Genomic DNA, 27,704 nt, shown 5'->3' on the forward strand with positions numbered 1-27,704 from the left:
AGTCTGTGAACAAGCTTGCAGGTCTCTCCCTGTCCTACAAAAGAGCATACCTCTTCTGTAACCAGAAGACCCTTTTTTTTTTTGATTAGTCAAGGCTGGACAGACTGAGATGAGGGTGTGTGTGGGTGTGTGTATGTTGAGACAGGGTCTCACTCTGTCACCCAGGCTGGAGTGCAGTGGTGAGATCAGAGCTCACTGCAGCTTCCACTTCCTGGGCTCAAGCAATCCTCCTATTTCAGCCTCCAGAGTAGCTGGGACTATAGGAATGTGTTATCACACCCAGCTCATTTTCTAATTTTTTGTAGAGATGAGGTTTCACTGTGTTGCCCAGGCTGGTCTGGAACTCCTGGCCTCAGGGGATTCTCCTGCCTTAGTCTCCCAGTGGGCTGGGATTATAGGTATGAGCCACCTTAACTGACCTGTGATGATTTTTCAACAATGTAATTTCTCTTTTACAGAGTCACCTAAGCTGAAGATTCCCTTGAGAACAAGTACTGTCCTGTGGTTTCATGGCCTTTCTTCCATTTGTGGTTCTTGCCAAGCGGAATTTAAATGACATCTTATCAAGATGGATAAACCCTAGTTTCCCAGTGCTGGAATATAGAAAATGGATGGACAAGTAAATCCCACTCAGCACCCATAGCCCAGGCATGGGGACCTCAACACATTTGAGCCGCAGAGATCACCTTTCATTGTGAATAGCTCTGAGATGATACTTCTGGTTGGTAAGTGCCCACTGGCAATAGTTTATATAACAGCAAGTGAAGGAATAAATAGTCACCAAAACATTTTCTGTCCCTAATTCCAGCATAAATTGGATTAGATAGTTATTTTATGAAGAATTTCCTATGCCACAGTCCTGACCATATCTTCAAGTGAACAGAAAAATTTGATTAAAAAGTCAACCTTCTGTCTCACTCTGTTGCCCAGACTGGACTGCAGTGGTGCAGTTATGGCTCACTGCAGCCTCAATCTCCTGGGCTCAAGCAGTCCTCCTCCCTCAGCCTCACAAGTAGCTGGGACTACAGGTACTTGTCACCACACCTCACTAATTTTCGTATTTTTTTAAATATGTGGATTCCACAGGACTGACTTCAAAAACTTGAGTATGTGTGGATTTTGGTATACACAGAAATGGGGGAGCTGGAATTAATCCCGCCATATACCAAGGGACAAATTGTATATATTTTTACAATTATACTGTAGGATACATTACATTCCATGACAATGGTAGTTTTTAATAACAATTTTTAATTGAGTGAAATTACCATAAAAATAACAATAGTAGCAGCTAATATTTACTGAGCTGTTACTAGGTGCGTATAAATACCATAGATTTTTAAATTCCCTGTAACTCTTCCTTATTTCACTTAACCACTCTATCTTAAATTACTCATGCTTGCTCCAGTAACACACATACTTAAGTTGGAACAATAGAGAGATTGGCATGGCCTCTCTGAAAGAATGACATGCAAATTTGTGAAGCATTCCATATTTTTTTAAAAAAGAGAAAAAAATTACTCCCAGATTTTCACTGTATTTGTGCATATGACCTTTTGTTTAGGTTGAATTATATTCAAAGATGATATTTTCAGAAGTGAGATTACTGTGAGTCGCAGGGTATGAGCATTCTTACTACTCTTGATGTAAATTGCCGAGCTTTCAGGCACGGTGGCTGTCAGCCTGTAATTCTAGCACTTTGGGAGCTGAGGTGGGAGGATTTCTTGAGGCCAGGAGGTGGAGGAGGCAGTATAATCAGTCACTGTCTGTATTATTTTAAAAAAATTTCCAAGCTTTATCCTGGAAGGCTTGTATACAATTTAAACACCACTAATACTACAAGAAAATGGCCATTTCACTGCACCTTCGCTGGCACAGGTATTATAATTTAACAAGTTATTTTCTGTGTGATAAATAAAAGACCTCATATTACTTTGTCATTTTTTTTTTTTCTTTTTGTGACATAGTCTCGCTCTGTCACCCAGGCTGGAGTGCAGTGGTGTGATTTTGGCTTACTGCAACCTCTGCCTCCCAGGTTCAAGTGATTCTCCTGCCTCAGCCTTCTGAGTAGCTGGGATTACAGGCGCACACCACCACGCCCAGCTAATTATTATTATTATTATTATTATTATACTTTAAGTTTTAGGGTACATGTGCACAACATGAGGTTTGTTACATATGTATACGTGTGCCATGTTGGTGTGCTGCACCCATTAACTTGTCATTTAGCATTAGGTATATCTCCTAATGCTATCCCTCCCCCTTCCCCACCTCACAACAGTCCCCAGTGTGTGATGTTGTCCTTCCTGTGTCCATGTGTTCTCATTGTTCAATTCCCACCTATGAGTGAGAACATGCGGTGTTTGGTTTTTTGTCCTTGCAATAGTTTGTTGAGAATGATGGTTTCCAGCTTCATCCATGTCCCTACAAAGGACATGAACTCATCATTTTTTATGGCTGCATAGTATTCCATGGTGTATATATGCCACATTTTCTTAATCCAGTCTATCATTGTTGGACATTTGGGTTGGTTCCAAGTCTTTGCTATTGTGAATAGTGCCACAGTAAACATACATGTGCATGTGTCTTTATAACAGCATGCTAATTTTTGTATTTTTAGTACAGACAGGGTTTCACCATGTTGATCAGGCTGGTCTCGAACTCCTGACCTCGTGATCTACCCACCTCAGCCTCCCAAAGTGCTGGATTACAGGCGTGAGCCACACGCCCGGCCTATTTGTCACATGTTTTATCTTTTCTTATGTTAGCTTATTAGCTTTATTTCTTTATTGTCCTTTTTTTTTTTTTTGAGATGAAGTCTTGCTCTCTCTCCCAGGCTTGAGTGTAGTGGCACAGTCTCAACTCACTGCAGCCTTGACCTCCTGGACTCAGGTGATCCTTCCACCTCAGTAGTTGGGACTATAGGCACATGCCACTATGCCTGGCCAATATTTTTTTAATTTTTAGTAGAGATGAGGTCTTGCTTTGTTTCTTAGGGTGGTCTGGAACTCCTGGCCTCAAGCGATCCCCCCAACGCCCCATCCCAAAGTACTGGTATTATAAGCGTGAGCCACCATGCCTGGGCTGTCCGTGTCTTTTCCATTTATTTATAGAGTTAATTTGTCTTTTACTAATTCAATGATCTGTTTAATCTTTTATTAAATTATAAAAATAGTAAATACTTTTAAATAAAGAAGTGAAGAATTTCCTTCACTCTTTAGACCCATAATCTTATCTCAGGAAATAATTGCTATTGAGAAAACGGGCCATATCCTTCAAGATACATACACGGTGATTGAACATCAGTTCACATTTTCATATTTTGTGGACATTTGTGCCAATACCTGTTGATCTATCTTAATCCTTTTCATGGTTACATAATATTTTATTATATGGATGTATCACAATTTACCAGTCAGCTGCTGTAGGCATTTAGGCTCCTTCTAATATTTGCTTTGAGCTCTTTATAATTAAAAATTAACCCCCTCAGCCAGGTGTGGCACTCACACCTGTAATCCCAGCACTTTGGAAGGCTGAGGTGGGAGAACTGCCTGAGTGTAGGAGATCACCACCAGCCTGGTCAACATAGCGACACTTTGTCTCTACTAAAAATTAAAAAATAAAATGAGCTACACATTGCAGTACACACCTGTTGTCCCAGCTACTGGGGAGGCTAAGACTGAAGGATCACTTGAGCCTAGAAGGTTGAGGCTGCAGTAAGCTATGATCATACTACTGCACTTTAGCTCTGGTAAGAGCAAGACTGTGTTTCTTAAATAAAATAAACATTAGATGGGAATATTGCTCAAGCCCTGGAGGTTGAGGCTGCAGTTAACTGTGATTGCACCACTGCAGTCCAGCCTAGGCGATAGAGCAAGACCCTTTCTCTAAAAATAAAATAAAATAAAAATTAACCTTCCATCATATTTCCCAGTAACGCCTTCCCTCCTACATTTCTCCTAGAAGCCCTTGAATTTTGTTTGTTTTTCACATACCATTTAAAACTTTCAAGTACTGATGTCTGTCTGTGTCATCCCTCTTTTTTTTTTTCTTTTAAAGAATGTCTTTTTGTCACTTCCGGCTGGATCTACCATGAAAGATTTCTGAATCCAGGAAGAGAGATTGACTGGGCAACATGTTATTCAGGTACAAAAAGACTTGGACTATAACTCAAAAATGATCAAATAATACTGCATGCATCAAATGCAGTGGAAGCTCTTCTGGAGAGTGAGAGAAGCTTCCAGTTAAAGTGACATTGAAACCAGGTCCTGAAAGATGAGGAAGAGTTGTATGAGAGTGGGGAGGGAAAGGGGAGGTGGAGGGATGGGCAATGGGCTGGGATGGGATGGAGTGAGCTACCCAGGCAGGGAAACCAGCACTGTACAGACCCGAACAATGAAGATGGCACATTTTGTTCAGGGAATGGTGAATTAAGTGTGGCAGGAATGCTTTGGAGAGATGGTCATTTGCTTGTATGGAATTTTGCCCAAGAGACCTCATTACAGTTTCTAATTTTTTGATGTTATCATGCATCACTGCCCTTGTCAAATAGTATGATAATCACAATAACATCAAACATAATATTTCATTGATCTCACAAAAACAGGTGGGTGCCACAGTTATCCCCATTATACGCGCAAAATGATGAAGACTTGGGGTTAATGAGCAATTTGCCCAACCTCACCTGGGTATTAAGACTGAGTCACATGTTAGGTCTGGTCTGACTTTAATGCTTGCCTTGTTCATGAGCACCATGCATTGCCTCTCCTATGCAGTTAAGCAGGTAGACAGGTGAGAGAAGAACTCATGTTTCTCTCTACTCACACACTACTGACCAAGTATGTGTGTGGAGTTTCTACACCAATTCTCCAACTGTTTGGATACCAACTGCGTATCCCACAATTCCATTCTGACACTACCTGGAGTTAGTGCAGACCCCACAGATTAGGGGCTCAGTCCCACAAGACCACCCTCACTTCAGATGCCAATTGCAAGTCCTAGGTTGTCACTTGTATTTTGACCAACCAGTTAGAAATCAGGGTTTCCCATGACCCTCTTCTTGAGTTTAATTATTTACTAGAACAACTCACAGAACTTAGAAAAACAGGTTTTTTTCTTTTCTTTTAAGAGACAGGGCCTCACTCTGTTGTCCAGGCTGGTGTGCAGTGGTGCAGTCATAGCTCATTGAAGCCTCAGCCTCCAGGGCTCAAGTGATTCTCCTGCTTCAGCCTCTCAAGTAGCTGGAATTACAGGGTTCCCACCACCACATCTGGCTAATTTCTTTTAATTTTTGTATAGATGGGGTCTTATGTTGCCCAGGCTGGTCTCAAATTCCTAGGCTCAAGTGATTCCGCCCACCTCTGCCTCCCAAAGTGCTGGGTTTACAGGCATGAGCCACCATATCTGGCCAGCTTATTTTCTATTACTTGCTCAATGTAAAGGCTCCATCTCAGGAACAGCCGATGAAAGAGATGCACAGGACAAGGTAAGTGGGGAGGGGCACAGAGCTTCCATGCCCTCTGTTGGGCATGCTACCCTCCCAGCACCTCCTTGTGTTCAGCAACACAAGGTTCTCCAAACCCTGTTATTTGGGTTTTTATGGAGGCCTGATTGATTGGCCATTGGTAGTTAAGTCAATCTCCAGTCCCTTTTGCCTCCTGGAGTTCAGCAGGTGAGGCTGAAAGTTCCAAGCCTCAAAAAATGTGGTTGGAGCTGGGCGCAGTGGCTCATGCCTGTAATCCTAGCACTTTGGGAGTCCGAGGCATGTGGATCACTTGAGGTCAGGAGTTTGAGACCAGCCTGACCAACATGGTGAAACCCCGTCTCTACTAAAAATAACAAAAATTAGCTGGGCATTGTGGTGCATCCCTATAATTCCAGCTACTTAGGAGGTGGAGGCAGGAGAATTGCTTGAACGTGGGAGGCGGAGGTTGCAGTGAGCTGAGACTGTGCCGTTGCACTCCAGCTTGGGCTACAAGAGCCAAACTCCATTTAAAAAAAATGTGGTTGGTTCCTCTGGCAGCCAGCCCTCCTCCTGAAGCAGTCTAGGAGCTTGCAGCCACCCTGTCAGCTCAACAGCATCCCACTTGCATTCTTACCATGCTACAGATCTGAAAGACCTTAGAGGCCCTTGTGTCAGGAACCTGGGACTAAGACTAAATATTAAAACAGAAAGTGCTCATATTACCTTTGTCACTAAGGACTTTATAAGAGCTTTAGAAGCTCTATGCCAGGAACCAGGGGCAGAGACCAAATGTATATTTCTTTTCTTATATTTGAGACAGAGTCTCTCTCTGCCACCAAGGCTGGAGTGCCGTGATGTGATCATAGCTCACTGCAGCCTTGACCTCCTAGGCTAAAGTGATCCTCCCACCTTAGCCTCTCCAGTAGCTGGAACTACAGGCTTGCATCACCATGTCCAGCTGATTTTAATTTTAATTTTGTAAAGGCAGGGTCTTCCTATGTTCCCCAGGCTGATCTCTAACTCTTGGCCTCAAGCAATCCTTCCTCTTTGGCCTCCCAAAGTGTTGGGATTACAGATGGGAGCCCCCATGCCCACCAATCACAAGGATCTTTATAAGAGAAACAAGGAGGTAAGAGAGTCAGAATTAGAGAAGGAGATGTGGTGAAGGAAGAAGAGGTCAGAGAGGGAGATTTGAAGATGCTGCACTTCTGGCCTTGAATATGGAGTCAGAGGCCATCTTCAAGGTGAGTCAAGGAATGGGGGTGGCTTCTAGAAGCTGGAAAAGGCAAAGGAGCTCATTCTCTCTAGAGTCTCCAGAAGGAATGCAGCCCCTCTGACACCTTGACTTTAGCCTTAATAGACCTAGTTGGGCTTCTGGTCCGTAGAACTGTAAGGTGGTAGATTTATGATGTTTCAAGCCACTAAATGTAGGGTAGTTTGTTGTAGCAGCAAGTAAAAAATGAACATGAAGCCAGGGCTTCATGTTACAGTTGCTCATGCCTGTAATCCCAGGACTTTAGGAGGCTGAGGTAGGAGGATTGCTTGAGCCCAGGAGCTTAAGACCAGCCTGGGCAACATAATGAGACCTCATGTCTAAAAGAATTTTTTTAAAAAGGCCAGGCGCAGTGGCTCACATTTGTAATCCCAGCACTTTGGGAGGTGGAGGCGGGTGGATCACGAGGTCAGAAGTTCAAGACCAGCATGGCCAAGATGGTGAAACCCCATCTCTACTAAAAATACAAAAATTATCCAGGTGTGGTGGTAGGTGTAATCCCAGCTACTCGGGAGGGTGAGGCAGAGAATCACTTGAACCTGAAAGGCAGACATTGCAGTGAGCTGAGATCGTGCTGTTGCACTTCAGCCTGGGCGACCGAGACTATGTCTCAAAAAAAAAAAAAAAAAATTAGCCAGGTGTTGTGGCATGCAGCTGTAGTCTCAGTTCCTAGGGAAGCTGAGGTGGGAGAATTGTTTAAGCCTAGGAGGTTGAAGTTGCTGTGAGCTATGATTGCACCACTGTACTGCAGCCTGGGCAATAGAGCAAGACCTTGTTTCAAAAAGAAAGAAAGAAATGAGCATGGTGGGAATGGGGACAGATGGCAATGTTAAGTAGCGTGGTCAGGGTTGGCCTCATAAGTGAATATTGAGCAAAAGTTTGAAGCAGGTGATGGAGCTGGCCAAAGTGCTGAGGGAAAAGCATTGTAGGCTGAGTCAACAGGATAAAGGCATTAGGAGGAAATTCCCTGGTGTGTCTGAGGCTCTGGAAGGCCAGTGGAGCAAAGAGATAGAGGGAGCGAAGTCGGCAAGGAGGCCAGGGAGTTGCTGGGCTGGGATCGGTACAGACCGTGTAAGCCCTGGGACACTGTTGCTGGGGCTTTGGCTTTTACTCTGACTAAAATGGGAACCACCGAGGGCTTCTGAGCCGAGAGGCGACGTGATCTGTCTCCTGATTTAAAAGCACGCCCTGGCTGCCAAGTTGAGAAGACTATGGGAAGATTTGGGTAGAAGCATGGGGGCCAAGCTGTGGCAACATCCCGGTGGGAGAGGATAGTGATCCTGACCGGGTGCACGGTGGTGGTGAGAGATGGTCAGAGCCTGGATACATGTTGAAGTCAGTCAGTAGGATTTCCTGACATTACCCAAAGCTGTGAGAGAAGGCAGGGGTCAAGGTTGAGTTTGATTCTAATTGAATTATTAAGTAATTTTAAAAAACACTACTGCCTTTCCCAATCCTACCAAGTAAAGGATGCTAGATAAAAGAAATCTCAAGTCAGGCCAGGTGCAGTGGCTCACACCTATAGTTCCAACAGTTTGAGAGGCAGAGATGGGAGTATGTTTTAAGGCCATGAGTTTGAGAGCAGCCTGGGCAACATAGCAAGACCGCTCTACAAAAATAAAAGAAATAAATATAATAAAATAAATATAGCCAAGCATGATGGTGTGTACCTGTGGCCCCACTTACTCAGGAGGCTGAGATGGGCAGATCTCTTGATTCTAGGAGTTTGAGGCCAGCTTGGGCAACATATCAAGATTTCTCTCTCTACAAAAATTGAAAGAAAAAAAAAAGCCTGACATGGTGGTACTTGCCTGTATTCCCAGGTATTGGGGCAGCTGAGGCAGGAGCATCTCTTGAGCCCAGTTGGTCAAGGCTGCAGTGAGCTATGATTATACCACTGCACTCCATCCTGGGTGACAGAGTGGGACCCTGTCTCAAAATACAAATACAAATGAAATGAAATCTCAAGTCAGACCAGTCCCTTCTAGGCTATGTAGGCCTTGCAACCACATAGCTGTGTGATCTGGTTTGTGTGGCTGTGGATGAGGAAACCCCTGCCAATTGTTATTGGCTATATAATCAGTTTATTTTTCAATATAGTAATCAAATATATTTCATCATATTTGATGGTCTCAAATATGTGTGGGTTTTGGAATTCCCCTTGGAACAGGTTGTAACATCTTATTGGCTCCATCATTCCATAATTTTTTGAATCTGATCAGTTTTTAATAAGGTCAGAATTGATATTAGACTACCTAATCAGTTTTTAATGAGAAAATGAAATTGTGTTGTTTGCACTTTATCCAAGATTGGTGTCATATTGGCTAAATCTAATCAATACTTGAACAAATGCAAAATTAGAGCTTCTTTATCATGAAACACTATGTCATTCTTTAAGAAGATGCCATTTTTTTTTTTTTTTTTTTAAGATAGAGTCTTGCTCTTGTCGCCCAGGCTGGAGTGCAGTGGTGCGATTTTGGCTCACTGCAACCCTTGCCTTCTGGGTTCAAGCAATTCTCCTGCCTCAGCCTCCCGAGTAGCTGGGATTACAGGTGCCCGCCACCCAGATGATTTTTGTATTTTTAGTAGAGATGGGGTTTCACCATGTTGGCCAGGCTCATCTCGAACTCCTGAACTCAAGTGATCTGCCTGCCTCAGCCTCCCAAAATGCAGGGATTACAGACATGAGCTACCACTCCGGGCCTCCATTTCTTTTTTGTAGTCTTTAATAAACAGCTGCTATCGTTGCAGACTTGCTATTTAGGCACTTAGGAATTTTTCACTAGAAGGCGTGTAAAGAAAGACCACGGACCTTTGTAAGGAATTTAGCATTCATTCTTTGACTACATGACTGTCCCCAGAGCTATAACTTTACTAATGAATTTTTTAGAAGCCACTTAGCTAGCAACTGAGCCTAATCAGCCACTCACCCTCGTTATTCAGTGCTCTTTTTTTATTGTCTATTTCTCCTCCAACTTGGCTATACTCACAAAGTAATAAAAACTTGCATTTGTTTTCTTTCCTTTTCAGAGACAGGGTCTTGCTCTGTTGCTCAGGCTGCAGTACAGTGACATGATCATGGTTCACTGTAGCCTGAAAATCCTGGGCTCAAGCAGTTCTCCCACTTCAGTCTCCCAAGTAGCTGGGACTACAGACATGTGCCACCATGTCCAGCTAATTTTTTCATTTTTTATCACAGAGACAGGATCTTGCCAGGTTGCTCAGACTGGGCTCAAAACTCCTGACTTCAAGTGATCCTCCTGCCTCAGCCTCCCAAAGTGCTGGGATTACAGGCAGACATGACCACCTGTGCCCAGCCCCCTATTATTATTATTTTAAATAATAGCTTTATTAAAATATGATTCACATACCATTCACTTTATTTATTGAAATCTGCAATTCAGTAGGTTTTAGATTATTCACAGAGCTGTGCATCGATCACCACAGTCACTTTTAGAACCTTTCATTACCCTGTAGAGAAATCCATATCCATACCCCTTAGCCACTACCTCCTACTCCCCCAACATGCCTTGGCCCCCAGCCTTAGGCAGCCATTGATTTATTTTTTGTCACTATAGATTTGCCTAATCTGGACAAATAGAATTGCACAATATGTGATCTTTTGTGGCTTTTTTTCCCTCTTAGCACAGTGTTTTCAAAGTTCCTTTATGTCATAGTGTCTATCAATATTTCATTCCTTCTATGGCAATATTCCATGGTAGAGACACACTGCGTTTTGTTTATCTGTTCATCAGTTGGTGGACATTTGGGTTGTTTCCATGTATTGGCCATTATGAATAATGCTGCTATGAAGACTGTTGTACAAGTTTTTGTGTGGATATATATTTTTATTTCTCTGGGATATATGCCTAGGAGTGAAATTGTTGCATTGTATGATGACTGTACATTTAGCCTTTTGAGAAACTGCCACACTGTTTTCTAAAGTGGCTACACCAGTTGGGTGCAATGGCTCACACCTATAATCCCAGCTACTCAGGAGGCTCAGTTGGGAGGAATTGAGCCCATGAATTCAAGTCCAGCCTGGGCAAGATAGTGAAACCCTGTCTTGATTAAAAAAAAAAAAATCCAATTAAAATGACAAGAACAGAACTACCCAAACAAAGAGGTTACACGATTTCATGTTCCCACCAGTGATGTATGTGGGTTCCAACTCCTCCACATCTTCACTGACATTTTTTTTTTTTTTCTAGATAGGGGCTTGCTCTGTCTCTCAGGCTGCAGCGCAATGATGCCATCACAGTTCATTGCAGCCTTGACCTCCCAGGCAAAAGTGATTCTCTCATCTTAGCCTCCTGAGTAGCTGAAAATTACAGGTGTATGCCACCATGCTTGGCTAATTTTTATAGATGGGATTTTACCATGTTGCCCAAGCTGGTCTCATACTCCTGGCCTCAAGTGATCTGCCCACCTCAGCCTCCCAAAGTTCTGGAATTACAGGCTGAGCCACCATGCCCGGCCTTCACCAACATTTGTCATTATGGTTTTTTTTTCTTTATACCTTAAAGCAGTATAAGAACGAGTTTCTTCAATTATAGGAAACAATATAATCCCAGGGCATTGGGAAGCTAAGACAGGAAGATGTCTTGATGCCAGGAGTTTTTTTTTGTTTTTTGTTTTTTGGTTTTTGGTTTTTTTTTTTTAAGATAGAGTCTCACTCTGTTGCCCAGGGTGGAGTGCAGTGGTGCGATCTTGGCCCACTGCAACCTCTGCCTCAGCCTCCTGAGTAGCTGAGACTACAGGTACATGCCACTACTGCCCGGCTTATTTTTATATTTTTAGTAGAGTCAGAGTTTCACCATGTTGGCCACACTGGTCTCGAACTCCTGACTTCAGGTGATTTGCCTGCCTCAGCCTCCCAAAGTGCTGGGATAGCAAGCATGAGCCACCATGCCCAGCCTGATGCCAGGAGTTTTAGACCAGCCTGGGCAACCTAGCAAGACCTGGTCTCTACAGAATATTTAAAAATTAGCCAAATGTGGGGGTACCTGCCTATAGTCTCTCTCCCTCTCTCTCTCTGTTTTTTTTTTTTTTTTTTTTTTTTTTACTTTTTGAGACATGGTCTGGCTCTGTCACCCAGGCTGAAGTGCAGTGGTGTGATCATGGCTTACTGCAGCCTGAAACTCCTGGGATCAAGTGATGAATCCTCCCACCTCATCCTACCAAGTAGTAGGGACCACAGGTGTATGCCACCCAGGTCTTTCTATGTTGCCCAGGCTGGTCTTGAGCTCCTGGCCTCAAGCAGTCCTCTCACCTTGGCCCCCCACAGTGCAAGGATTACAGGTATGAGCCACCATGCCTGGCCTCTACCCTGCCTATTGAGAACCAAAAGAAGGATCCAAATTCTCCTTAGCTCAACTTGAGCTATTTCCTAATTGCTTCATCAGCAAGGTGCTGGTTATTGGGTGTCCAGGCCTCCCAAGCAGCACAGAAATGAGGTAAGGGAGTTTTCCTGCTGCTTCACTCTGTGAGGAGTTGGAGGATGATGTTTACTCATTTGCAGAGAGAGATGCCTTGTAGCCACCTTAGGATGGAGGGGACCCTGATTCCAATGTCCTTTTTTTCTTTAGAAACAGGACCTTGCCCTGTCACTCAGGATGGAGTTCAGTGGTCCAATCATGGCTCATTGTAGCCTCAAACTCCCAGGCTCAAGCAATCCTACCACGTCAGTCTTCCCAGTAGCTGGTAAGCACCATGACACTCAGTGAATTTTGTTTTTATTTTTTTGTAGAGATGGGGCCGCACTATGTTGCCATGGCTGACCTTGAACTCCTGCACTCAAGGGATTTTCCTGCCTTGGCCTCCCAAAGTATTGGTATTACAGGCATGAGCCATTGTGCCCACTGTCTCTGGTTCTTAACCTTCTGCCTCCCTCTTCCACTTTTAAAGAATGCTTGTAATTACATGGGCTCTCCTAGATACTCCAGGATAATCTTGTTTTAAGGTCAGCTGATGATGAGCAACATTAATTTTATCTGCACTCTTAATTCCCCCTTCCTATGTAATTGTGCTGTGTAACATAGGACATGAGCAATTAGTTGGCAGGGTGGGGGGTTATTACTTTGGCCACCACAGTAACTTGTGCCAGGTACTGAGCTAACCACTGGTGAATTAAGCATGAATAACACACACTCCCTAATCTCCATCCATTCATGGGAGGAGCACCTCACCTGCCATGCTCCTGAGAATCTGGGGAGTCAAGGAAGTCTTCCATGAGGAGGTGATGCCAAAGCGGACAAGTGACAGAGGAGCCGAAGCTAGCCAGGAAGAGAGTAGAGGTTTAAGGGGAAGCATATTATAAGCAGAGGATATCACCCACTTCAGAGACTCCCAGAGGAGAAAGAGTGTGCATTCAGGGGGCAGATGAGGCTGAGTTGGACTCCATAGCAGGTGAAATGGAGAGGGGCAAGCAGTGAGGCTGCCTTGCAAGGCAGGGCAGAGCGGGGGCTGTTAAGGAGTTTGGACTTAATCCCCAAGGCAAGGAGAAGTGATGTAAATGGGGAAGTAACATGATGAGATTCATGGATTAGAGACATGGCTCAGGCTTCTGTAGAGAAGGAACCAGGGAGAGCAGATGGCTCAATGGGTGTGCAGGAGACCTCTCACTGAGTTGAGGGAGAGGTTTTTAAAACAGAAGAAGTTTGAGTAATTTAAATGATGGTGGGAAGGCGCTAAAAGTGGGAGATAGGTTAAAGATACAGGAAAGTGGGAGGAAGAACTGACAAGTGAGGTTCCAGAGAGGGCAGGAGAAGAGGAGATTCCCTTAGGGGGATTAACACTTTCTTTTCTTTTTCTTTCTAAGACAGGGTCTCACTCTGTCGCCCAGGCTGGAGTGCAGTGGCATGATCTTGGCTCACTGTAGTGTAGACTTCCCAGCCTCAAGGGATCCTCCCACCCCAGACTCCCAAGTAGCTGGAATTACAGGTATGCACCACCACCACACCTGGCTAATATTTTTCTTTTTTTTGGTAGACATATAGTCTCACTATGTTGCGCTGACAGGTCTCCAACTCCTGGCCTCAAGTGATCCTCCTGCCTAGGCTTCCCAAATTGCTGGGATTACAGGCATGAGCCACAGTGCCTGGCCTCTGCTAGTTCTGTATTCTCTAGAGTTGTCTTTACTTTGTGCTAGTGTGTCCCTCATTATGCTGATCCTCTGCTAAAATTAATACTTTTTTTTTGAGATGGAGTTTCACTCTTGTTGCCCAGGCTGGATTGCCCAGGCTAGAGTGCAATGGCACTATCTTGGCTCACCGCAACCTCCACCTGCCGGGTTCAAGCGATTCTCCTGCCTCAGCCTTCCGAGTAGCTGGGAGTAGCATGTGCCACCATGCCTAGCTAATTTTGTATTTTTAGTAGAGATGGGGTTTCTCCATGTTGGTCAGGCTGGTCTTGAACTCCTGACCTCAGGTGATCCGCCTGCCTTGGCCTCCCAAAGTGCTGGGATTACAGGCATGAGCCATGGTGCCTGGCCAAAATTAATACTTTCTATATTAAATTTACATATATATATTTTTTTTCTTTTTGATACCAGGTCTCATGCTCTCACTCAGGCTGCAGTACAGTGGCACAACCTCTACTCACTGCAGCCTCTACCTGCCAGGCTCAAGCAATTCTCCTGACTTAGCCTCCCGAGTAGCTGGGATTACAGGTAAGTGCCACCACACCAAGCTAAATTTTGTGTTTTTTGTAGAGATGGGGTTTCGCCATGTTTCCCAGACTGGTCTCAAACTCCTGAGCTCAAAGCAATTCACCCGCCTTGGCCTCCCAAAGTGCTGGGATTACAGGTGTGAGCCACCTTGCTCATTCTAGTTTAAACTTTTGAGTGGTTTGTGTCTCCTGATTGGACTCCTACAAATACAGAATTGATGGTAGGAAGGGTACCAGGAGATAGACCCACACAGATGGGATTTGGGAATAGGTTTGGTTATCCAAGGAGCAGTGCTGAGCTCCTTGCTAATGGGATATGGGAGGCTGGTGATTTCCAGGAAGTGACCTCACAATGACTCAAGCTACCACATACTGTTCATTGTGAAATGCCAGTTGAAGCATATGTCCTGTGAGCTTAGGGGTGCTACAAGTTGACCACTGCAGCAGTAAAGATGATTCTGAAGAATGGCATGGGATGGATCCTTTCGAATGCACTTGAGCAGCGGTCTCCAACCACAGGGCCACAGAGCTGGAGGTGAGCAGCAGGCAAGTGAAGGGAAACTTCATCTGTATTTCTAGCCCCTCCCGTCGCTTGCATGACCACCTGAGCTCCATGTCCTGTCAGATCAGCAGCAGCATTAGATTCTCATAGGAGCACAAACTCTGTTGTGAAGTGTGCATGCGAGGGATCTAGGTTGTGTACTCCTTATGAGAATCTAATGCCTGATATTCTGTTACTGTTTCCCATCACCCCAGATGGACAGTCTAGTTGCAGGAAAACAAGCTCAGAGATCCCACTGAGTCTACGTTATAGTGAGTTGTAGAATCATTTCATTATATATTACTATGTAGTAATAATAGAAATAAAGTGCTCAATATATGTATTGCACTTGAATCATCCTGAAATTATTCCCTCACTCCCAGTCTGTGGAAAAATTGCCTTCCACATATTCACTCTGTTTTTTGGTACAGGCAAGGTCTTAATATATTGCCCAGGCTGATCTCAAACTCCTGGCCTCAAGTAATATACCTCTCTCAGCCTCCCAAAGTGCTGAGATTACAGGCATAAACCACCACCCTCAACCAAGACTTTCTTAAACCAAATAAAAATTAAGTGAGATTACTTGAGCCCATGTGGTCAAGGCTGCAGTGAGCCTGATTGCACCACTGCACTCCAGCCTAGGTGACAGAATGAGACTGTCTCAAAAAATAAAATAAAATACAAATGAACCCTTTATGACATTGCCAGTAACTTTCCCTCCTAAGTGTTCCCCACAAGTCTTTGAATTCTGTTTAATTTTCACATAACATTTAAGACGTTTAAGAACTTATGTCTGTCTGTGTCATCCCTTTATGTCAAAAGATGCCTTTTTGTCACTTCCAGCTGGATCTACCATGAAAGACTTCTGAATCCAGGAAGAGAGACTGACTGGGCAACATGTTATTCAGGTACAAAAAGATTTGGAGTGTAACTCAAAAATGATCAAATAATAGTGCATGCATCAAGTGCAATGGGAAGCTCTTCGGGAGAGTGAGAGAAGCTTCCAGTTAAGGTGACATTGAAGCCAAGTCCTGAAAGATGAGGAAGAGTTGTATGAGAGTGGGGAGGAAAGGGGGAGGTGGAGGGATGGGGAATGGGCTGGGATGGGATGGAGCAAACTGCCCGGGAAGGGAAACCAGCACTGTACAGACCTGAACAACGAAGATGGCATATTTTGTTCACGGAACGGTGAATTAAGTGTGGCAGGAATGCTTTGTAGAGACAGTAAGTTGCTTGTATGGAATTTTGCCCAAGAGACCTCATTGCAGTTTCTGATTTTTTGATGTCATCATCCATCACTGTCCTTGTCAAATAGTTTGGAATAGGTATAATGATCACAATAACCCCAAGCATAATATTTCATTAATTCTCACAGAATCACAGGTAGGTGCCACAGTTATCCCCATTTTATGAATGGAGTGATGAAGCCTTAGGAATAATGAATGATTTGCCCAAGCTCACCTGGATATTAAGACTGAGTCAAATGTTGGGTCTGGTCTGACTTTAATGTTTGCTTTGTTCATGAGCACCACGTATTGCCTCTCCTATGCAGTTAAGCAGGTAGACAAGTGACAGAAAAGCCCATGTTTGTCTCTACTCACACACTTCCGACTGAATGTATGTATGGAGTTTCTACACCAAATTCTTCAGTGCTCTGGATATTAACTGGGTATCCCATGACTTTATTCTGACACTACCTGGAGTTAGCACAGACCCCACAAGTTAGGGGCTCAGTCCCACGAGGCCATCCTCACTTCAGATGCCAATGGCAAGTCCTAAGTTGTCACCTGTACTTTTGACCAACCTCTTACAAATCGGGGGTTCCCATAACTGTCTTCTTGGGTTTAATAATTTGCTAGAACAGTTTACGGAACTCAGAAAAACAGTTTATTTTCTTTTTTTCTGAGAGAGAGGGTCTTATTTGGTTGCCCAGGCTGGTGTGCAATGGTGCAGTCATAGCTCATTGCAGCCTTGATTGTCTGGGCTCCAGTGGTTCTCCCACCTCAGCCTCCCTAGTAGCTGAGGCTACATGCCTGCACCACCACATCTGGCTAGTTTCTTTTTTTTTTTTTTTTTGTATAGATGGGGTCTTGTTGTGTTGGCCAGGCTGGCCACAACAAATTCCTGGTCTCAAGTGATCCTCCCACCTCAGCCTCTGAAAGTGCTGGGATTACAGATGTCAGCCACCACATCTGGCCAGTTCATTTCCTATTACTGGTTCATTGTGAAGGATACATCCCAGAAACAGTCAATGAAAGAGACGTGCATGCTGGATGCAGTGGCTCATGCCTGTAATCTCAGCACTTTGGGAGGCCAAGGTGGGAGGATTGCTTAAACTCAGGAGTTTGAGACCAGCCTGGGCAACATGGTGAAAACCTGTCTCTATAAAAAATTAAAAAATAATAATAATAACCAGTGTGGTGTTGTGCACCTAGAGTTCCAACTACTAGGGAAGCTGAGATGAGAGGATGTCTTGAGCTGGGGACTGGGGAGGCTTAGGTTACCATAAGGTGAGATTGTGCCACTGCACTCTAGCTTGGACAAAAGAGCCTGATCCTGTCTCAAAAAAGAGAAAGATACCCAGGGCAAGTTAAGTTCGGAGGGGCACAGAGCTCCCATGCCCTCTGTTGAACATGCGACCCTCCCAGCATCTCCTGTGTCCAGCAACCCTGAAAGTTCTGCAAACCCCATTCAGGGTGTTTATGGAGGCTTTATTATGCAAGCAAGATTGATAAAATCTTTGGCTGTTGGTGATTAAGTCAGTCTCCAGCCCCTCTTCCTCCTGGAGTTCAGTGCATGAGGCTGAAAGTTCCAAGCCTCTTACCATGTGGTTGCATGGTAATCAGCCCTCCTCTTGAAGAAATTTAGGAGCTTGCAGTCACCCAGTCATCTCAACAACATCCCCAAATGCATTCTTACCATGCTGGAGATCCCAAAGTTCTTAGAGGCTCTTGTGTTAGAAACCTGGGACCAAGACCAAATATTAAAACAAAAGATGTTCCTGTCACATCTATCACTGAGGTCTTTGTAAGCTTTAGAAGCTCTGTGCCAGGAACCAGGGACAGAGATTAAATATATATTTCTTTTCTTTTTTTTGAGACAGAATCTCCCTGTGTCATCCAGACTGGAGTGCAGTCTTGTGATCATAGCTCACTATAGCTTTGGCCTTCTGAGATCAAGCAATCCTCCCATCTCAACCTCCCAAGTAGCTAGGACTACACATACATGTCACCCATGCCCAGCTCATTTTTGTAGAGTCGGAGTTTCACCATGGTGGCCAGGTTGGCCATGTTGGCCAGATGGGGTCTTCTTTTGTTGCCCAGGCTGGCCACAAATTCCTGGGCTCAAGTGATCCTCCCACCTCGTCCTTGTAGAGATGAGATTTAGTTATGTTGTCCAGGCTGATTTCAAACTCCTGGGCTAAATCGATTGTCTCACCTCAGCCTCTCAAGTAGCTGGGACTACAGGCGCATACCACCATGTCGGGCTAATATTTATTTTTATTTTTTTCTAGAGGTGGGGGTCTCACTATGTTGTTCATGCTAGTTTCAAACTTCGGGCCTCAAGTGTTCCTCCTGCCTTGACCTCCCAAAGTGTTGGGATTCTGGGTGGGAGCCACCATGCCCAGCAATCACAAGGGTCTTTATATAAAAAAAAAAGAGGGTAGGAGATTCAGAATTGGAGCAGGAGATGTGGTGATGAAAGCAGAGGTAAGAGAGGGAGATTTGAAGATGCTTCACTTCTGGCTTTGAAGATGGAGTCAGGGGCCATGATCCAAGGAATGGGGGTGGCTTCTAGAAGCTGGAAAAGCCAAGGGAACACTTTAGAGTCTCCAGAAGGAATGCAGCCATGCTGACACCTTGACTTTAGCCTTAATAGACCTAGTTTGGGTTTCTGGCCCCTAGAACTGTAAGATGGTAGATTTGTGGTGTTTTAAGCCACTAAATGTAGGAAACTGCAAACTATGTTGCAGCAGCAAGAAGAAATGAACATGAAGCCAGGCATGATGGCTCATGCCGGTAATCCCAGCACTTTAGGAATTTAGGCAGGAGGATCACTTGAGGCCAGGAGTTCAAGACCAGTCTGGGCAATATAGTAAGACCTTGTCTCTACAAAAAATGAAAAAATTGGCCAGGCGTGGTGGCTCACGCCTGTAATTCCAGCACTTTGGGAGGCCGAAGCGGGCAGATTACCTGAGGTCAGGAGTTCGAGACCAGCCTGGCCAACATTGCAAAACCCCGGCTCTACTAAAAATACAAAAATTAGCTGGGCGTGGTGGCACGCACCTGTAATCCCAGCTACTTGGAAGGCTGAGGCAGGAGAATCACTTGAATCTGGGAGGTGGAGGTTGCAGTGAGCCGGGATCGCACCATTACACTACAGCCTGGGCAAGAAGAGTGAAACTCTGTCTCAAAATAAAATAAAATAAAATAAAATAAAATAAAATAAAATACAAAAAATTTAGCCAGGCATGATGGCATGAATCTGGAGTCCCAGCTACTTGGGAGGCTGAGGTGGGAGGATCACTTGAGCCTGGAAATTTGAGGTTGCAGTGAGCTGTGATTGCGCCACTGCACTCCAGCCTTCGTGACAGTGAGATCTTGAAGAAAAGAAAGAAGAAAGTAAAGAAAGAAGAAATGAGCATGGTGGGCATGGGGACAGATGGCAATGTTAAATAGAATGGTCAGGGGTGGCCTCCTAAGTGAAAATTGAGTAAAGACTTGAAGGAGGGGAAGGAGCTGGCCAAGGTGCTGAGGGAAGAGGATCATAGGCAGAAACAATAGAATAAAATGTCTGAGGTGTGTCTGAGGCTCTGGAAGGAGGCCCATGGAGCAGACGGAGAGAGGGAGAGAATTAGGGGAGGGGGCCAGGGAGTTGCTGGGTGGGGATCAGTACAGATCACATAAGCCCTGGGAGGTTATTGCTGGGGCTTTGGCTTTTACTCTGACTCAGATGGGAACTGCGGGAAGGTTCTGAGCAGAGAGGCGACATGATCTGTCTCCCGATTTAAAAGCATTCTCTGGCTGCTGAGTTGAGAAAGACTGTGGGAAGATGTGGGTAGAAGCATGGGGGCCAAGCTTTGGCAACATCCAGGCGGGAGATGATGGTGATCCTGACCAGGGCCATGGTGGTGTTGAGAGATGGTCAGAGGGGAGAAGTAGGGGAGGAGGCCAGGGAGTTACTGGGTGGGGATCTTTAGTACATGTCGAAGACAGTCAACAGGATTTCCTGACAGACTGGATATGGGGTGTGAGAGAAGGCAGGGGTCAAGGTTGAGTTTGATTGTTACTAAAATTATTAAGTAATTTTAAAAAACACTACTGCCTTTCCCAATCCTACCAAGTATGGGATGCTAGATTAAAGAAATCTCTTCAGGCTCATTGCAGTGGCTCATGCCTGTAGTCCCAGCTGTTTGGTAAGCAGAGGTGGGAGTATCTTTTAAGGGCAAGTGTTCAAGACCAGCCTGGACAACACAGCAAGATCTGCTCTTTACAAAAATATTTTTCAAAATTAAATAAATGTAGCTAGGCATGGTGATGTGTACTTGTAGTTTCAGCTACTCAGGAGGCTGAAGTGGGCAGATCTCTTGAGGTCAGGAGTTTGAGGCCAGCTTGGGCAACATAGCAAGACCCCTCACTCTACAAAAAAATTAAAAAAATAACCAGGCATGGTGGCACTCAGCTGTACTACCAGCTACTGGGGAGCTGAGGCAGGAAGATGGCTTGAGCCCAGGTGGTCGAGGCTGCAGTGAGCTGTAAGTGCACAGCTGCACTCCAGTCTGGGTGACAGAGCAGGACCTGTCTCAAATACAAATAAACATACAAGTAAAATAATGAAATCTCAAGTCAGAGCCTTTTGGCTCTGCAGCCCTTGCAATCGCTCAGCCGTGCAGTGGGGTTTGCGTCGCTGGGAATGAGGAGACCCCTGCTCGGTGTTGTTGCCTGACTAATCAGTGTTTTAAAACATATATTAATCGGGGTGGGCGCAGTGGCTCACACCTGTAATCCCAGCACTTAGGGAGACCCAGGCGGGTGGATCACCTGAGGTCAAGAGTTCAAGACCAGCCTTCTCTACTAAGAAAACTCCTTCTCTACTAAGAAAATACAATAATTAGCCAGATATGGTAGTGGGTGCCTGTAATCCCAGCTACTTGGGAGGCTGAGGTAGGAAAATCGCTTGAACCTCTGCGGGGCGGAGGTTGCAATGAGCTGAGATTGCGCCACTTCACTCCAGCCTGGGCAAAAGAACAAGACTTTGTATCAAAGAAAAAAAAAGTATTATATCAACATGTAATGGTTTTATTATTAATATATAAAGAATATTAAATATTTTTAAAATCTTCTATTATATTAACATGTAATGGCTTTATTAATATGTGATGAGTAATATTTAAAAATTTTTGTCTTATTTTCTAGTTTTAATATAATTATTTACAGAAAGAAATAGTCTTAGAGATCTTCAATAAAGTTAAAAAATGTAAAGGGATGTTAGACCCCAAAAGATTGAGAATTTCTAGTTTAGAAATATTCAGAGTAAGCCACATACAACTTGCTACTTGAACTATTTTTTTTCTTTGTTTTTTATTTTAGGAGATGGGGTCTCACCCTGTCGCCCAGGCTTGAGTACAGTAGTGCTATCACAGCTCACTGCAGCCTTGAACTCCTGGGCTAAGGATCCTCCTACCTGAGCCTCCTGAGTAGCTGGGACTGTAGGTATACATGACGATACTTGGCTAATTTTTAAATTGTTTTGTAGACATGGGGTCTCACTTTGTTGGCCAGGCTGGTGTCAAACTCATGGCCTCAAGTGACCCTTCCACCCCTGCCTCCCATCCTAGAGGTATGTGCCACCACAAGGAGCACTTGTTCAATTTTCTAAAAAAAAAATTTCTAAAGTAAGGCTGTGGGATGATGGCAGGAAGATAAGAGAAAAACAGAATAAGTTAAAATGACTTATTCACACATATTCTTTTGACAGCAAGAAGAACTTTTAGTATATACATTCCTTACAAACAAACAAAAGGCAGATAAACAATGTTGTATAGGAACTTCAACACACACTGTACAATATTCCCACTTTGCTGACATAAGTTATGGAAATTTCGTGGTTTACTTGAGTGTCGCTACCAGTATTTTGCTTCTCTGATCATTTTTATCAACTTCCTCATCTGTTAACTTCTCTCCAAGGTATGTCATATCATGACATACTGCTGCTGCACGAACATGGCCAGTGTCTTCCTATTAAACATGTAGAATGCTTTCCTAATTTCTCTTTTTACTCTCTGTCTTTGTGTTTTGCATTTTCCTTACTTTTATTGTCAGAAACTCCAGAAAGTCAATTGTACTAATTTATCACCATTTGCTTTATTAATTTATACTTTGCTTATATGGAATTTTGCCCAACAGACCTCATTACAATTTCTAACCTGTTTTATTTATTTATTTTTTTTTTTCTGAGACAGGGTCTCCCTCTGTTGTCCAAGGCTGGAGTGTAGTAGTGCTATCACAGCTGACTGCAGCCTCAACCTTCCAGGCTGAAGCGATCCTCCCATCTCAACCTCCCACGTGGCTGAGACTACAGGCGCTTGCCACTATGCCCAACTAATATTTGGAATTTTCCTATACGTGGATTCCAGAGGGGTGACAGCGAAACGTGAGTAAGCATGGATTTTGGTATATGCAGAGATGGGGGGCTGGAACTAATTCTGTATACTGAGGGAGGACTGTATATGTTTTTACAATTACGCTGTAGGATACATACTGTTGCGTAGCCTTGAAAATAATAATTTTTAATTGAGTGGAATAATAATAATATTGATAAAAGTAGCAGCTGGTCAGGTGTGGTGGCTCACACTGGTAATCGCAACACTTTGGGAGGCTGAGGCAGGAGGATGGCTTGAGGCCAAGAGTTTGCGATAGGCCTTGGAAACAAAGGGAGTCACCATCCCTACAGAAAAATATATGAATTAGCCTAGTGTGGTGGCATGTTCCTGTAGTCCCAGCTACTTGGGAGGCTGAGCTGGGAGGATCACTTGAGCCCAGGGAGGCTGAGACTGCAGTGAGTCATGATCAGGCCTCTGCATTCCAGCCTGGGTGACAGAGTGAGACCCTGTCTCAAAACAACAAAAAAGTAGCAGCTAACATCAACTGACCTTTTACCAGGTGCCTATTGATACCATAGTTTAATTTCTTATAACTTTCTTATTTCACTTACCAACTCTGTCTTCAGTTACTCCCAGATTTTTACTGTGTTTGTACAGATGACCTTTTGTTTAGACTGAATTGTCTCCCCAGAAGTAAGATTACTGTGAGTCATGGCGAATGGACATTGTCATTACCCTTGATGTAAATTGACAAGGTTTTGGGTGCCTCCCAGCTATAATCTTAGCACTTTGGGAGGCTAAGACAGGAGGATTGCTTGAGGCCAAGAGTTTGAGGAGGCAGTATGGCAGTATGGTGAGACCCTGTCTCTATTATTTTAAAAAATTGACAAGCTTTACCCTGGAAGGCTTATACACAATTTAAACACCCCTCATAGTATAAGAAAGTGCCCATTTCACTGCACCTTTGCCAGCACAGGGTATTATAATTAAGTCATTTTTTGTTTGATTATTTTAAATAGATAAAAGACCTCATATTACTTTGCTTGTCACATTTCAACATCTTTCCTTAGCTTATTAGCTCTATTTCTTTTCTGTCTGTAAATGGTTGTTGTTGTTTTGTTCTTTGAGACAGGGTCTTGCTCTGTCACCAGGCTGGACTGTAGTGGCATAATCATGCCTGACTGCAGCCTTGACCTCCCAGGCTCAAACTTTAGCATTCCGAGTAGCTGGGACTACAAGTGTGCACCATCACTCCCAGCTAATTTTTTTCTTTTTTTGGATAGAGACAGGGTCTCACTGTGTTGTCCAGACCGGTCTCTAGCTCCTGGCCTTAAGCAATCCTCCTGCATTAGCTTCTCAAATTGCTGGAATTTCAGGCATGAGCCACCATGCCTGGCCTGGGCTAGTCCTATATTCTCTAGAGTTCTCTTTACTTTGTGCTAGCCAATCTCTCATTATGCTGCTCACCTGTTATAATGAATAATTCTCTGTATTAAATTTTACCACTTTAAACTTTTGAGTGGTTTATGCTTCCTGATTGGACTCTGACTAATATGTTAGGAAGGGTCCCAGGAGATAAACCCACACAGATGGGATTTGGGCATAGGTTTGGTTTCCCAGGGGGCAGTGCTGAGCTCTTTGCCAGTGGGAAATGGGATGCTGGTGATTTCCAGGAAGTGACCTCACAATGACTCAAGCTACCACTTACTGTTGATTGTGATGACATGCCAGCTGAGGCACATGCCTTGGGAGCTAAGTGGTTGCTGCACTTGACCACTATGAAGACTGGTGTGGGAAGGGTCGTTTTGGATGCTCTTGAGCAGGGGTCCCCAACCCCTGAGCCATGGAGCCGTAAGGAGCCACACAGCAGGAGGTGAGTGTGTCGAGTGAGGGAGTGAGGGAAGCTTCGTCTGTATTTACAACCACTCCCCTTTGCTCACATTCCCGCCTGAGCTCCACCTTCTCACATCAGCAGTAGCATTAGATTCTCATAGGAGAACGCACCCTGTTGTGAACCGTGCATGTGAGGGATCTAGGTTGCGCTGTCCTTATGAGACTCTAATACCTATTGATCTGTCACTTTCTCCCATCACGCTCAGGTGGGACCATCCAGTTGCAGGAAAACGAGCTTAACACGCCCACTGATTCTACATTATGGTGAGTTCTATAATTATTTTATTATATATTACAGTGTACTAATGGAAATAAAGTGCCTAATAAATGTAATCTGCTTAAATCTTTTGGCCCAGCTCCTACCTCCCGGCAGCCTCTCCAGGCCCAGAACTTTCTCCAGTCGGCCTCCACAGACCAAGCTCATGACTCACAATGGCCTATTTAGGCCCATACCCTACCTCACGGCAGTCTCCGCAGATGAGGCTACTGCCTCACAACAGCCTCCACAGGCACAGCTCCATCGTTACAATGGCCTCTTTAGACCCAGCTCCTGCCTCCCAGCCTTCTCTCTAGGCCCTGAACTTTCTCAAGTCGACGTCACCAGGCCCAGCTCATGCTTCTTGGCAGCCTCTCCAGGCCCAGCTCTTCCTCCCGGCGGCCTCTGCAGGCCCAGACTGTCATCAAGTCGGCCTGTCCAGGGCCAGCTCCTGCCTCCCGGCGCCCTCTGCAGGCCCAAGTCGTCCTCAAGTTGGCCTCCCCAGGCCCAGCTCCAGCCTCTCGGCGGCCTCTCCGGGTGCAAAAGTTCCTCGAGTCAGCCTCTCCAGGCCCAGCTCCTCCTGCCTCCCAGTGCCTCTTTCGGCCCAGCCCAGCTCATGCCTCTGGGCGGCCTTCCCAGGCCCCGCTTTTGACTTTTGGCGGCCTCTGCAGGCCTCGACAAGGCCCGGCCTCCTGCCTCCCGAAGCCTGCACAGGCCCAGCCTCTGCCTCACAGCAGACTCTCCACGCCCAGCTAGCTCTCGCCTCACTGCGGCCTCCCCAGTCCAAAGCTCCTGCCTCTCGGCCGCTTCGGCAGGCCCAGCTCCCGCCTGCCAGTGCCTCTTCAGGCCCATGGGGCTCATTCCTCACAACGGCCTTTCCAGGCCCCGTTTTTCCCTTCCGGCGGCCTCTCCGGGCCCAGAACCTCCTCAAGTTGGCCTCTCCAGACCCACTTGCACCCTCCGGGCGTCCTCTCCAGGCCCAGCTCTTCCTCCCGGCTGCGTCTCCAGGCCCGACTCCTGCCTCCCAACAACCTCTTTGGACTCAGTGCCTGCCCATCTCCTGGCGGCCTTGGTCGGCCCACAGCTTCCTCAAGCCAAGCTCCCCAGGCCCAGGTCAGGCCTCACGGTGGCCTCTCCAGGATCAGCTCCTGCCCTCCGATGGTGTCTCCAGGCCCCAAATGGTCTCCGGCCAGTGGGCTCCTCCACGCCCAGCTTGGGCCTCCCGGCGACCTCTGCAGGCCCAAGTCGTCCTGAAGTCGGCCTCTCCCGGCCCTGCCTCCCAGCAAGTAAGCAAGCTTTTTTGGCTTAGCTCCTGCCCAGCTCCCAACCGCCTTTGTAGGCCCCGAACTTTCTCCAGCCAAGCTCTTCGGGCCCACCTCCTGCCTCCCGGTGGCCTGTACAGGCCCAGCTCTGGCTGGAGAACAGCCTCTGCAGGCCCCGCTCTTGCCTCCCAGGGGCCTCTCCAGGCCCAGCTCTCGCCCCCACAGCGGCCTCCCGGGGCCAAGTCCCTGCCTGCCTCCCGGCATCCCGCATGCAGCCCAGCTCCTCCCTCACGGTGGCCTGTTGATGCCCAACTCATGCCTCTGGCACCCTGCCCAGAGGCGTGAGCCCCTGCCTCACACCGGCTCCTCCCACGCTGACAGAGGTCAGCGTGAGCCCCTGCCTCAACAGGCCACCGTGAGGGAGGAGCAGGGCCGCACGCGGGCTGCCGGAAGGCGGACAGGGACTTGGCCCCGGGAGGCCGCGGTGGGGCAAGAGCTTGGCCTGGAGACGCCCCTGGGAGGCAACAGCAGGGCCTGCAGACGCTCTTCTCCAGCCAGAGCTGGGACTGTACAGGCCACTGGGAGGCAGGATGTGGGCCTGAAGAGCTTGGCTGCAGAAACTTTGGGGTCTACAAACGCCGGCGAGAGCTGAGCCGAAAGAGCTTGCTTGCTGGGAGGCAGGAGCTGGGCCGGGAGATGCAGCCAGGAGGAACAGCTGGGCCTGCAGAGGCCGCCATGCGGGAGGCAGAGGCTGGGCCTCCTCAAGTTGGCCTCTCCAGACCCACTTGCAGCCTCCCGGCGTCCTCTCCGGGCCCAGCTCTTCCTCCCGGCTGCGTCTCCAGGCCCAACTCCGGCCTCCCAACAAGGTCTTTGGACTCAGCTCCCCCGCAGCTTCCAGCGGCCCTGGTAGGCCCACAACTTCCTGAAGCCAAGCTCCCCAGGCCCAGCTCAGGCCTCACGGTGGCCTCTCCAGGCTCAGCTCCTGCCCTCCGACAGCGTCTCCAGGCCCCAAACGGCCTCCGGTCGGTGGGCTCCTCTAGGCCCAGCTTGGGCCTCCCGGCAGCCTCTGCAGGCCCAAATCGTCCTGAAGTCGGCCTCTCCAGGCCCAGCTCCAGCCTCCCGGCGGCCTCTGCAGGCCTAAGTCGTCCTCAAGTCGGCCTGGAAATGGGCCTGGAAGAGCTGCAAGTCGGCCTCCCCGGGCCCAGCTCCGTCCTCTCGGCGGCCTCTCCAGGTGCAAAACTTCCTCGAGTCAGCCTCTCCAGGCCCAGCTCCTCCTGCCTCAGTGGCCTCTTTCGGCCCAGCCCAGCTCATGGCTCTCGGCGGTCTTCCCAGGCCCCGCTTTTGACTTTTGGTGGCCTCTTCAGGCCCAGAACTTGACCTCCAGTCGGCCTTTGCAGGCCCGGCCTCCTGCCTCTCGAAGGTCTGCATGGGCCCGGCCTCGGCCTCACAGCGGACTCTCCACGCCCAGCTAGCTCTCGCCTCACTGCACCCTCCCCAGTCCAAAGCTCCTGCCTTTCGGCCACTTCGGCAGGCCCAGCTCCTGCCTGCCAGTGGCCTCTTTAGGCCCAGCTCATTCCTCACAACGGCCTTTCCAGGCCCCGTTTTTCCCTTCCGGCAGCCTCTTGGCCTCTAATTTTTTTATCTTTTGTGTATAAATCCCAAATTATGGAATTTTGGAATATTTCCACCATTATATAAATATTTTGGTAGGTAATTTATTTGGAGTGAGTTTCTGCACCAAGCC

At 46.4% G+C, this 27,704-nt stretch overlaps 1 long non-coding RNA gene and 1 pseudogene across 1 annotated transcript in view; both read left to right on the top strand.

The window, feature by feature from the left end:
• The window catches only part of LINC00265 (long intergenic non-protein coding RNA 265), a 61,056-nt gene extending 33,378 nt beyond the window's left edge, over nt 1-27,678 (top strand). Inside the window, exons 2-12 of the long non-coding RNA NR_026999.1 lie at nt 459-725; nt 4,060-4,146; nt 12,326-12,440; nt 13,558-13,679; nt 14,290-14,406; nt 14,799-14,940; nt 15,790-15,854; nt 21,537-21,659; nt 22,409-22,599; nt 24,649-24,706; nt 24,799-27,678. This is a non-coding gene — a long non-coding RNA (long intergenic non-protein coding RNA 265). The remainder of the gene's footprint in view (nt 1-458; nt 726-4,059; nt 4,147-12,325; nt 12,441-13,557; nt 13,680-14,289; nt 14,407-14,798; nt 14,941-15,789; nt 15,855-21,536; nt 21,660-22,408; nt 22,600-24,648; nt 24,707-24,798) is intronic.
• RNU6-719P (RNA, U6 small nuclear 719, pseudogene) lies at nt 1,396-1,499 on the top strand (annotated as a pseudogene).
• Nucleotides 27,679-27,704: the final 26 nt, after the last annotated feature.

The sequence above is a fragment of the Homo sapiens genome, chromosome 7 (assembly GCF_000001405.40).
Source record: "Homo sapiens chromosome 7, GRCh38.p14 Primary Assembly".
NCBI classification, from domain to species: Eukaryota; Metazoa; Chordata; class Mammalia; order Primates; family Hominidae; genus Homo; species Homo sapiens.